At 39.1% G+C, this 12,478-nt stretch overlaps 1 pseudogene; it reads left to right on the plus strand.

Moving 5' to 3' along the window:
- MRPL42P2 (mitochondrial ribosomal protein L42 pseudogene 2) lies at positions 5,625-6,317 on the plus strand (annotated as a pseudogene).

Below are 12,478 nucleotides of genomic sequence, written 5' to 3' on the forward strand. Positions count from 1 at the left end.
AGAGAGTGTCAGATCCCAGAGATTGAGGGCTCAGACCCATAAGACTGCCCTACCCCCAACACACACACCTTCCCATGCAGATCGCAAGCCCCAGGTTGTATTATCTGTGCTTCTGACCAACTGGCTATACACTAGGGTTCCCACAACCCCGCCGGGTTCCCTTAATTTGTTAGGGCAGCTCACAGACCTCAGGGAAACACTTAAGTTTTCCTGTTTATTATAAGGGATGTTACAAAGGATACAGATGAAGAGATGTGTAGGGCAAGGCATGCAGGAAGGGACACAGAGCTTTCGTGCCCTCCCTGGGCACACCACCTTCCAGGAACCTCCACTGTCTGGAGGTTCAGCTACCTGGAAGATTCCAGAACATAGTCCTTTTTGATTTTTAAGCTTCATTAGGGAGGCATGATTGATTAAGTCATTGGTCATTGGTGACCAACATAATCTTCAGCCCTTCTCCCCTTCTCAAGGTTTCGGGGTGGGGCTAAAAGTCCCAACCCTCTAATCTTGCCTTGGTCTTTCTGGTGACCAACCCCATCCTGAAGCTACCTAGGAACCGCCCCTATTAGTCAATTCAATAGCACATACAAAGCCACTTATTACTTTGAAGAGTCCAAGGATTTTAGGAGTTGTATGCCAGGAAACTGGAGGATAACCAAGTACTGTATATATTTCACAATATGACAGCCTCACTTTCCATTATAACAAAATAAGGAAATTAGATAATCAACAAGGCTCTCTGTAGCTCTGAAATATTAACACTGTGATTTTATGGAACACATATAAGAAATCCTCTAGCTTTTTTTATTTGACTTTTCCAGCAGTTAACGTGTTTTTTTAAATATCAGAAATCTAAGTGGTCAATACTCTTCTTAAATGAGTTTGTCTATCAGATTACCTCATTTTATAAATTTATTATAGAGAAGTTGCTGCAATCTTAGCATTTCTGTGAATTGGAGACCATGATTCAGACTTGTTGATGAGGTCCAGAATAACTGAGGGACATATCTCAGTAGGGTTTAGATTGTCAATAAACGAAATCAAGGAGGTATCTAAAGGAGTTCTGATCTTGCTTATTAGAAAAAGTTCAGGAAACACAGCAGAGAAATAAGTTAAAAAAAAAAATCTCTGGAGGCAGTAGGATCTGACCAGAGAAAACAACCACTAAAATGTTCACAAGTGCCAGGGGGAAGGAGGTAACATTCCTCACATTTACAGACCTTTGAAGCTCATTTTAACTTGGGAACTTTATGGACATAAGGATAAATCCAGGGCTGCCTGGTTAAGGGTCGGGTCTCATTACTCCCTAGTTAACAATTCACATTTTAAAATGAAAGAACCTGATTTAAATGTAATCCTGTCTTTAGGCTTGAAGACAAGTAAAATGCTATTTTTATCTAATACATAAGTAAAAGCAAGAAAATCCCCTCCAGAGAGTGGAAGCTGTTCATGGCTCTATTGTAATTTCTGTCTGCAAATGTGTGAAAGAAACTTTCAAGGGAAAAATGTTCCAGAAAGTAACCTTTTAAACGTTAAACCACTGCACTTTAGAAAGCAAGATAAAGAGCTTTGTACCCCAAGCTATTTCTCTGTTCCTTTTTTCTTGAGCTAAACCTCCTGTGTAATAATTTCTTTGGAATGCTTTGTTCTGAAGAGATGTTTCATGCGACTGGTGCCTTGTCTCAGTAATCAAAGACACACTGAGTCAAATTTGGCCTTTGGAAAACAACCTGGATAATGACTGCCTGTAATTATGTAAATGTTTAGATAATAACTGATTTTCAATTTAATTTGATGGAGACAAAACTTAGCACATCCTTACCCAATGCCTCTCCTTGTAAGTGGCCACTGTGTCTTCTGGGTAACTTGAGAACCTGGCAACAATATCAGGAACATAGTAGGTGCTTTATAAATAGTTAGTAGATGAATGAATGAATGAGTGAATGCTTAATAAATGTGCTTGATCTGATCCTAAAACAATTTTTTTCCTTTTAGAAATTCAGCCATTTAGTCATCATTTTCTGAAGCATATTTCAAAAGTATACTAATATTGAAGAGTAATTAATAGAAAGCAACTGACACTATGTCTTTGTTAATGCTGCACCCCCTTCCCAAATAAATTTCATGGTTTATGGCTCTCCAGAGGCGAGGGAACAAAGCCACTTGGGAGAAAAGTATCTGCTGAAGTTTTTGGTTTTTGCTTTTCTAAAACTGCCTCAAATTCAGAAAAAAAGGCCATAGTTTTCATGGCTATGGGGTCCACACTCTAGTCTCCATGCAGAATCTTTCCCTAGTGACTGGACTTGTTTTGGCAGCCCTCAGGGTAAATTACTCTCCTCGATAGCCCTCAGCAATCACAGAGGCTTATCTCAAATTCTTCTTGTCGAAATGGGATGTGTACTTGGTCTTACCACTTGAAGAAAAAATGTTTAAACACTGCACAGTTTACCAGATCTTACTTTGAGGTGTTCTCTGGGGTTAGCCAAACAAATGGAGAAGGTCTAAGTAAACTGTTCAAGACTTTCAGCCAACGCTGAAAGTGCAGTGCTGGAATTGCCTGACCCCAGAGAGAGGGTAACTCTGAGCGTGCAGTTTCTAGATCAAGGTCGGGAGGTGCTGACCACAATGGGGCCATGGGTGGAGGGTGATGCCTTAGGCACCACTGAGGAAGTAGAAGAAAGATCTAACCCTGGAGGTATCTTCCTCCTGATTTTTTAGTTTTTCTGGAGAGCCCCTCAGAGTGTGGGAAAGTGTGTAGTGGACTGGGATTTGGGAGTGTTACCTTCCTTCCAGCGACCCTCTACTTTTCTACCCACTTCTTGCTGATACAAAATCTCCAGGTGCAAAATTTCTTGGTGACCTCTGTGCCCCGCTGCAAGCAGCTTCCATAGAAGGCAGATATGACCTCAGCATTACACACAGGCATTTTTAAAAAATAAAGGATGCTATTTAAATTAAGGAACAATTTAAGCAAACAAAAGACAGAATAATAAACAGACTCTATGTGCCCACTACCAGGAGTAAACAGACTTGAACATTTTGCTTATTGATATGGTCTGGCTGTGTGTTCCCACCCAAATCTCATCTTGAGTTGTAATCCGAACTGTAATCCCCAGGTGCTGGAAGAGGGAACTCTTGGGAGGTGATTGGATCATGGGGGCGGTTCTCCCATGCTGTTCTCTTGTGATAGTGAGTTCTCAACAATATCTGATGGTTTTATAAGGGTCTGTTCCCCCTTTGCTCTGTGCTTCTCTCTCCTGCCACCTTGTGAAGAAGGATGGTTTTGCTTTCCCTTCTGCCATTATTGTATAAGTTTCCTGATGTCTCCCCAGCCATTTGCAGCTGTGAGTCAATTAAACCTCTTTTCTTTATAAATTATCCAGTCTGGGGCACTTATAGTAGTGTGAAGCCGAACTAATACACTTACTTACTTTAGGCCTTTTTTTTTCTTTCTTTTTTTTTTTTTTAAGAAATAAGATTTTATAGAGTTAAAAAAAAATCCTCCCTCAATTTAAGTATCTGCACAGCTATTCTTTCTATTCTTTTTTATCTTTGAATTGCTCATAATTAAAATCAAAATAATTTGTATATTTGTAAATTGTTTTGATTTTAATTATGAGCAATTCAAAGATAAAAAAGAATAGAAAATAATACAATGACTATATACCCACCATTGAGATTACATGCATGATACTATTTTGCCTTATTTGTTTTAACCTTGTTCTAAATTTTTATTGTGGAAAATTTCAGACACATACAAGAGTAGGAAGAATAGTATAATGAGCTCCATGGACCCATCACCCAGCTTCAACAATTGTCCACTCATGGACAATCTTGTTTTATCTGTGGGGTAGTTATAGATAATATAGATTCTACATTCTCCCATATGTTATTTATCTATACACATTTCGTCATGTATCTCTTAAAGAGAAGAACGTTAAAAAAAATAACTGCAATGCCATTATCATACTTAAATGTAGCGATAATTCACTAGTGTCTGCTATTAGCCAAAATCCAGTCAATGTTCAAATTTTTTCATTGTAAAAATAATTTTTTTTCAATTTTTGTGTTTGAATCAGGATTCAGATAAGGTCTACACCAAGCTTAAAGCCAACCTGCAGCCTGCAGGCCACACAGGGCCCTGGACAGCTTTGAATGCAGCCCAACACAAATTTGTAAACTTTTTTAAAACAGTATGAGTTTTTTTGCAATTTTTTTCCTCTTAGCTCATCAGCTATTGTTAGTGTTAGTGTATTTTATGTATGGCCCAAGATAATTCTTCTTCTTCCAGTGTGACCCAGGGAAACCAAAAGATTGGACACCCCTCATCTACATATTGACATTGATTTGACAGAGACAGTTATACCTCTTTCTTTCCAATTTTTATTCTTCTAATTGCTTGTTCTTATCTAATTGCATAGACTAGGACCTCCAGCCCAGTATTAAATAGCAGTGGAGATCATGGCTATCCTTTGTCTTGTTCCTCACTTTAATGGAAAGTCTCCAGTGTAATCACGTTAAATAAGATGCCAGCTTTTGAGCTAAAGTATACACACACACAGACATATAATCACATGTATAACATATTAAAAATCACATATGAATATAAAGTATACATTATTTATATATTTCAGTAAATGTTGTACCATATATAACCATATATAATGATATATGTAATTATATATAATCATACGTATTTAAAAAACAAAATAGTCATCAATGTATATTTTTAAGTGTTAAGTTTATCAGGTGCGTTATCTACCTCTGTGAAGATGATTATATGACCTTTTTCTCTTTGTCTTAATATGAAGGATTATGTTATTAAATTTTCTAATAATGAATCCCTCTTGTTAAAGATGATGCTGATTCTTGTAGCAACTAGAATTATAAATGGAAAAGGCTACAAATTATCTCAGAAAAAGAAATCTAGATCTCCTATTTGATAGGGAAAGAGAATTTATGTACCATACATGTGTGTGACTAAAATAATCAACTACTGATGTTTAATTTTTTAAATCTCCCTGTATAACAACTATAATTAGACTTGAGTTTCATATACACCTTTCAGATGCTATTGCCAAGTACATTCCCAGTTTTTAAATATGTTTCTATTCTTTAGCAGAGTAAACAGCAAAAGGTGCTAGAAGGCAAATAAATGTGCAGGGAGACAGAGCAACACGTGCCCAGAGTATTTTGTGCTGCCCAAAGCCATTTGGCTTTGAAGAGATTCAAAGGAAGAAACATCTGATGTTCAGACACTAAGATGAAAGAGTTAAAGGGCTTCTTCCCAAAAACCCATAACCCTAGCCTAATCGTGAGAGAAACATCCGTTGAATTCTAATTAAGGGAAGTTCCACAAAATTCCTGACCAGGACTCCTCAAAACCATCAAGGTCATCAAAAACAAGGAAAGTCAGAGACACTGTCATAGCCAAGGGGCACCTAAGAACAAATGACAACTAAATGTAGTGTAAGATCCTAGATGGGTTACTGGAACAGAAAAAATACGTTGGGTAAAAACGGAGAAAGTATGAATCCATTATGGGCTTTAGTGAATAGTAACAATATTGGTTCATTAATTGTAACAAATGCACCGCACAAATGCAAGATGTTAATATTGGGGGCAACAAGTGGGGGGACTTGAGGTAAGGAGCTGCCAAGTGATGAAAACTGGTGTGCCTAGAGGCAGATTTTCAAAGCATTCTCTCTTCAAAACATCTTTTTCGAAGATGTTTATACTACCTGATAAGCATCTCCATACCCCATGGCTGTAGCAGCAGTAAAATAGAGGACAGTAAAGCAAATTGTCTTGAAACATTTATTTCCAATGCAAAATGGAGCTTTATACTGTGTGTGTTATAAATCTATGTATTCTTCTCTACCTGATGACTATAATTGCAAAACAGAGCTTGCTGTGACTTCCAATGGCAGGAAGTGAGCCTGCTACCACTCTCCTGTGGACATTCCCTATGAATACACAAAACCCATCCTTCAACCACATCCTGGGCACAATAATGAAGAAATACAAGATCAAGTGCTGAAAACCAGATTGGAAGAAAAAGGTGAACACCTTGAGCAAAGACCCATGATAGAACAACTTAGCAAAATGTTCTTTAGTATTACACGCTGTTGGTATTCTCATGGACAGTATTAAAGATGTTGCAAGAAACTAGATCTTCTAAAAGGCAGATGACTGAGGTACTCGGGGGAATCAAAGAGAAATGTTCTTCATTTGCCATTTGAGAAAATGCAATCCGGGGTGTTCACTAACATGTTATATAGTAAAGTCAGAATAATGAATGTCTTTTCATATTAAAAAAATAGTAGGGGGAAGTAGGTGTGGGACATATGAGGACTGTCTGCACTATCATAATTTTTCTGTAAATCCAAAACAACTGTAAGATTAAAAGTTTATTTTTAAAATTAAAGAACCTTAAAAAATAATACAGGTACATCTTTTCTCCAGATGCCAAGAGAAGTAGAATTATATTCTTGAATTCCCCATCCGTTTTTTTCAAACTACCCACTAGTGCCAGCTCAAGGAGCAGTTTGCTTTTTTCATTTAGAAGTATATTTGGAGGCTGGGCATGGTGGCTCACACCTGTAATCCTACCAGTTTGGGAGGCCAAGGTGGGTGGATCACCTGAGGTCAAGAATTTGAGACCACCCTGGCCAACATGGTGAAACCCCAACTCTACAAAAATACAAAAATTAGCCGGGCATGATAGCGGGTGCCTGTAATCCCAGCTACTCAGGAAACTGGGGCAGCAGAATCACTTGAACTTGGGAGGCAGAGGTTGCAGTGAGCCGAGATCACGCCATTGCACTCCAGCCTGGGTAACAGAGTGAGACTCTGTGTCAAAAAAAAAAAAATAGTAGAAGAAGAAGTATATTTAGGCTTATTTTGGTGAAGGAAAGTGGTAGATGGAGTGAACTGGAGAAGTGATTTGGAGAAAAGTCAAGATGCAGCATCAAAGCCTTTGATGGGACACACTGCCTTCCTCTCATAGGCATTCACGAGTTGACAGCCGTCTTTCCTTTTCTCTTCTGTCTCTCCATCTTTCTTTTTTATTTTGAGGAGATCAAGCCTGCAAATTAAGACAGAAACAATACTACTTCGAAACTTCTTTAGCAGCGGTCCTCGGTGCTCCGGGTTGTGACACGCTCCTCGGTTTCTGTTTAGCATTAGCTCTTCAAATCTGGTCTTTAAGTTCAGTATCTCCCAGGAGCCTTGGCTTTCCTGAGCTTTTATTGTCTTGTTATTCTGCTTACCTGACATAGAGATAAAACCCTCTCACTCCTTTGTAAGCAGCCTGGAGTCATCGCCCAAAGATGTAACTGAATCTTCCTCAAGATGTCATTCTATAAAAAGGGGCCTGACCCAATGCTTCCTATGTATTTCAAAGACATGAAGGACACATTTGCTGTTTTCCAGTAAACCACTTAAATATATAGTACTTGTTCAGAAAACTTGCCACAAAATCCGTTGCAAAAGAATTATTTCAATCAGGAAGCAAAAACATCTGGATTTTTATGACGTACCAAGGTACACCAGTCCAAAGACACAAACATCACAAAGGCCTGGCCTAGATATCATGAATAGTGGCTCTTGTTGAGACAGCTGCTGGGGTCTTGGGCATAGCAGGCTGCACATGGCTGGCTGTGCAGTCTAATGCACTTAATATCTTCATCTTAGCTATAGATTGCCTTTGTCATGCTTTAGTTCCCTTTCATTTACATTCATCTTCTGCTCAGTTCCTTCCTACCATATTTTCTTTGAATTGATTGAAAAAAGGACTGTTCATGGTTTGCTTCTGGTCCAAGACAGTGAGTTCATGGGAATAACACAAAAGCAATTTTAAAAGGAGGAAGTTTTCTCAGGCTTTTGGGGATACTTCTCCAGAGATGGCATGCTTCTAGTCAAGGCAGCTGTGCTGTTTGAGATCACAGCCTGATCTCACGGGGCTTTCCCTTTAACTTTTTAATATGGAATATTTCAAACTATGGAATATTTCAAAATATTTCTCATACAAAAGGAGAAAGAATAGTATAATGAACCCCCAGCTTGAACAATTATCCCCTTATGGCCAATCTCATTGGATGTGTATTTCCAGCCATTCCCTGACCACCCTTCTTCCCTGGGTTACCCTGAAGCAAATCCAGGATGTTATATAATTTCATCTAAAACTATTTTCTATGCATCTCTAAAAGATTTGGACTCTTTCTGAAAACATAACTATTATCTGTTATTACAACAAACAACCCAACATTAATTCCTTGATATGTTCAAATATCGTCAGTGTCCAAATTTGCCCATTGCCTCAAAAACAGTTTTTCTTTGTATTATTTCCTCATTTATTTTTATATGTCATTTCAATGTAGACTAAAATAAGACTTACATATTGCAATTGGTTGATGTATCTCTTTATAAAGTTTCCCCTTTATCTTCCTATACCACATCCTCCCTCCCCCCTCCCCTTTTTTGAGGCTTTTGTTTGTTTCTTTTTTAACATGAATAAAGTGAAGTAAACATTTAAAAATGGAACTCGAAGAGGACAACCAACCAACCAGTAGATGGGATATTTTCCCTTTCTTTTGAAAAGGTGACTCCCTCTGGCATTGGACAGTGTTTTACTTTTTTCCCACTGAGGATGCAAGTCCAGCAGGTTTCTCCTTAATTTGCTTGAGGGTTGAAAGGACAGCAGTAAATTCCAGGTCACAACCAAACTGCCTATTTAATTCCCGGAGTGTTAAACATTAACACCCAGGCCTTGCCTCCCCAGAAATCAGCATTTGTTGATACAAAGTGTACTCTGGCTTACAACAGATACCTGGGCTTTTCTAGCAGCCTATTTTTACTCAGTCACACACCCCACCCCAGCTTGCCATCAGTTCAGCCACAAGAAAAAAACCAAAGAGAAAGAAAGTTGAAATATTTAATTTATTGCCGTGTGAATCTGTTTGAGTAGCTTCACAGAATCTTAACACGAACAACCTGCGGAGTTGAGATGTTGACACTAAAATGGCACAGCAGGCTACTTCACAACCCCACCCCCGTCTTTTCTTTTCCCTTCTTATCCCACTCACCCCCCAACCCCCAGATGGTTTAACTAAAAAGTCATTTAAGGCGAGCATTGTGGAGAAGGATAGGCCGGGGGCTTCTCACTCTGGGATTTGGTTCAGATTCATGGTCTACATGTCTACACTCTGACAGTGACCTCCAACATCGACCTCAAAAAATTTGTACTGTTTTCCAAACACCCTCATTTTCCCTATCCCATTATGAATCTATAATCAGTTCATTTTTCTAAAACGCTAGAGTGTTTGTTTATTTTTTTGTTTGTTTTGAGACAGTCTCGCTCTGTCACCCAAGCTGGAGTGCAGTGGGGCGATCTCAGCTCACTGCAACTTCTGCCTCCCGGGTTCAAATGAATTCTTATGTCCCAGCCTCCAAATTAGCCAGGCATGTTGGCCACACTTATAATCCTCAGCTAGGATTATAAGTGTGGCCAACATGCCTGGCTAATTTTTGTATTTTTGGTAGAGACAGGGTCTCGTCATGTTGGCCAGGCTGGTCACAAACTCCTGACCTCAAGCAATCCACCCTCCTTGGCCTCCCAAAGTACTGAGATTACAGGCTTGAGGCACTGCACTGGCCTAGAGTTATTGTTTTCTTTCTTCTTAAGCTAGGTCTGGCCATTGAGACCCTTAAGCAGCAACTGAAAGAGCAGCTTCTCTGAGAGCACCTCAGAGCCTTTTGTGATGCCCACTGCAAAGCAGGCTGAGGCTTCTGTATTGTACTGCAGGAGACTTTGCTCTTTCCTCAGCAGCATTCTCAACACCCTGTGTCTCTACTCTGTCTTGGGTGCTCCCACTGGGTTGCCCATGTGTTAAAGATTCTTGGTTAGTCAAGGAAAAGCAATAGCAGGTCAAGGAACCTGCCCCCATTGTGTTATTTCTAAACAAAGGACATATCTTGAATTAAAATGGGGTGTGGGGGACTGGAATAAAAGGGTTTCTACTAATATCTGGAGTTGGCTCTATAAGGAGTAAGATCCCAGCCATGGCCCGCCATTGCAGTGGGGATTCCACGACCTCTGTGGCCCAGGCTGTGTCTTCAGGTGAATGTAAACCCCTCCGTTAGTACACCTGTAGACAGCCTACATGCTCTGGGGTCTTAAAAACCTGAAATCAAATTTCACTTCTGCCATTTATGAGTTTCTTATTTAGGAAAGTTTATTTCTTAAAGTATCAGGTTTCTCATCTGTAATAAGGGAATTAAAATATATAACGCATATGGTTGTTGATATGGTTTGGATTTGTGTCCCTGTCCAAATCTCATGTTGAATTGTAATCCCCAATGTTGGAGAAGGGGCCTGTTGGGAGGTGACTGGGAGTCTACCCACATGATGGTAGACATCTCCCTTGCTGTTCTTGTGACAGTGAGTTCCATGAGATCTGGTTGTTTAAAGGTGCATAGCACCTCCCACCTTTGCTCTCTTTCTCCTGCTTCGGCCATGTAAGACGTTCCTCCTCCCTCTTCGCCTTCTGCCATGATTGTAAGTTTCCTGAAGCCTCTCCAGCCATGCTTCCTGTACAGCCTGCAGAACAATGAGCCAATTAAACCTCTTTTCTTTATAAATTACCCAGTCTCAGGTAGTACTTCATAGCAGTGTGAGAATGGGCTAATACAGTTGTCAGGATAAAATAAGGTAGCACAACCAGCCTACATTAAGACTGTTAGATCCCAGAACCAGAAATACCATTTGAGCCAGCAATCCCATAACTGGGTATATACACAAAGGATTATAAATCATTCTACTATAAAGACACATGCACACATATGTTTACTGCAGCACTATTTACAATAGCAAAGACTTGGAACCAACCTAAATGTCCATCAGTGATAGACTGGATAAAGAAAATGTGACATATACACCATGGAATACTATGCAGCCACAAAAAAGAATGAGTTCATGTCCTTCGCAGGGACATGGATGAATCTGAAAGCCATCATTCTCAGCAAACTAACACAGGAACAGAAAACCAAACACCACATGTTCTCACTCATAAGTGGGAGTTGAACAATGAGAACACATGGACACAGGGAAGGGAACATCACACACCAGGACATGTCAGGCAGTGGGGGGCAAGAGGAGGGAGAACATTAGGACAAACACCTAATGCATGCAAGGCTTAAAACCTAGATGATGGGTTGATAGGTGCAGCAAGCCACCATGGCACACGTATACCTATGAAACAAACCTGCATATTCTGTACATGTATCTCAGAACTTAAAGTAAATTAAATTAAATTTTAAAAAAAGAATGTTATATCCCAACCTTTCCTTTCTTCTCCCACTCCCAAAGAATAATAAAGTAAATTGTTTATGAGTCAATAAGATGAATTAGTCTGCCGTTGCTTTCCCAACTGTGGCAGAGTCAAAATGAAATAAGTAATAGGTTTTGTCGGGGAAAAGGCTAATGACATAGCCCTGCAGGTTGGGCAATCCCTGGGTCTACAGGGATTTTTAGAATAGGGGATCAGAGAACTAACGGATGACAAGATGGGACTGGAAAATGTAAGAGCAAAGAGAAAGGTATAGAAGGTAAGACGGGAGCACCCCAAAGGTAAATGTCCTCTGTGTTGCCATTTTTGCCGCATTTGCCAATTCCTTCTTAAAATTTTTATTTTATTTTTGACAAATAATAATTGTATATATTTATGGGGTACAAGATGAAGCTTTGATATACGTATACACTGTAGAATGATGATATCAAGCCAATTACCATTCTTCACATACTTGTCATTTTTTTGTAGTAAGAACATTTCAAATACATTTTTAGCAATTTTGAAATATACAATCATTATCATAACTGTAGTCACCATGCTGTACAATAGATCCCAAAAACATATTCCTCCTTTGTAACTGGATCTTTGTACTCTTTGATGAACATCTCCCGATTCCCCACGCCACATCCCATGCTAGGAGTGTGATTTCATACTCATGTCTACCTCCTTGGAGACTTTCAAAAGTACAGATGCATGAGAAAGAAAAAATACTCTGGTGGAAATATTATTGGCATTTTTAAGACAATTTAATAAGCTTTCAGTTAGTTTTCCTAGGCCAATGCATATTTTATATAGTAAATGGCAACATCTAAATCTTATAGGTTGAATTGGAATATCTATATCTGGTTTTCTCTGGAGAAAACATACGTTCGTTCATCTGTTCGAAGGACACAGCCAAACATCTTTTGAGAGTAAGTCATTTTACACTGTGGATATATGAAGTTGCACTCCCTCAGGGAACTACAGAAAACCAGAATTAACCTAAATTTATTTCCAGGAGCAATAAAGTTGATTCGAAATGGTTGAAATATACCCATTTAGTTTATATAGTCTCATTAGAGCCGTAGATTAGTTTTATAAAACATACATATTGCGCTATTTCATGTTCTCCACTTTTCCTCATCAGA

This window comes from Homo sapiens, chromosome 6 (genome assembly GCF_000001405.40).
Source record: "Homo sapiens chromosome 6, GRCh38.p14 Primary Assembly".
NCBI classification, from domain to species: Eukaryota; Metazoa; Chordata; class Mammalia; order Primates; family Hominidae; genus Homo; species Homo sapiens.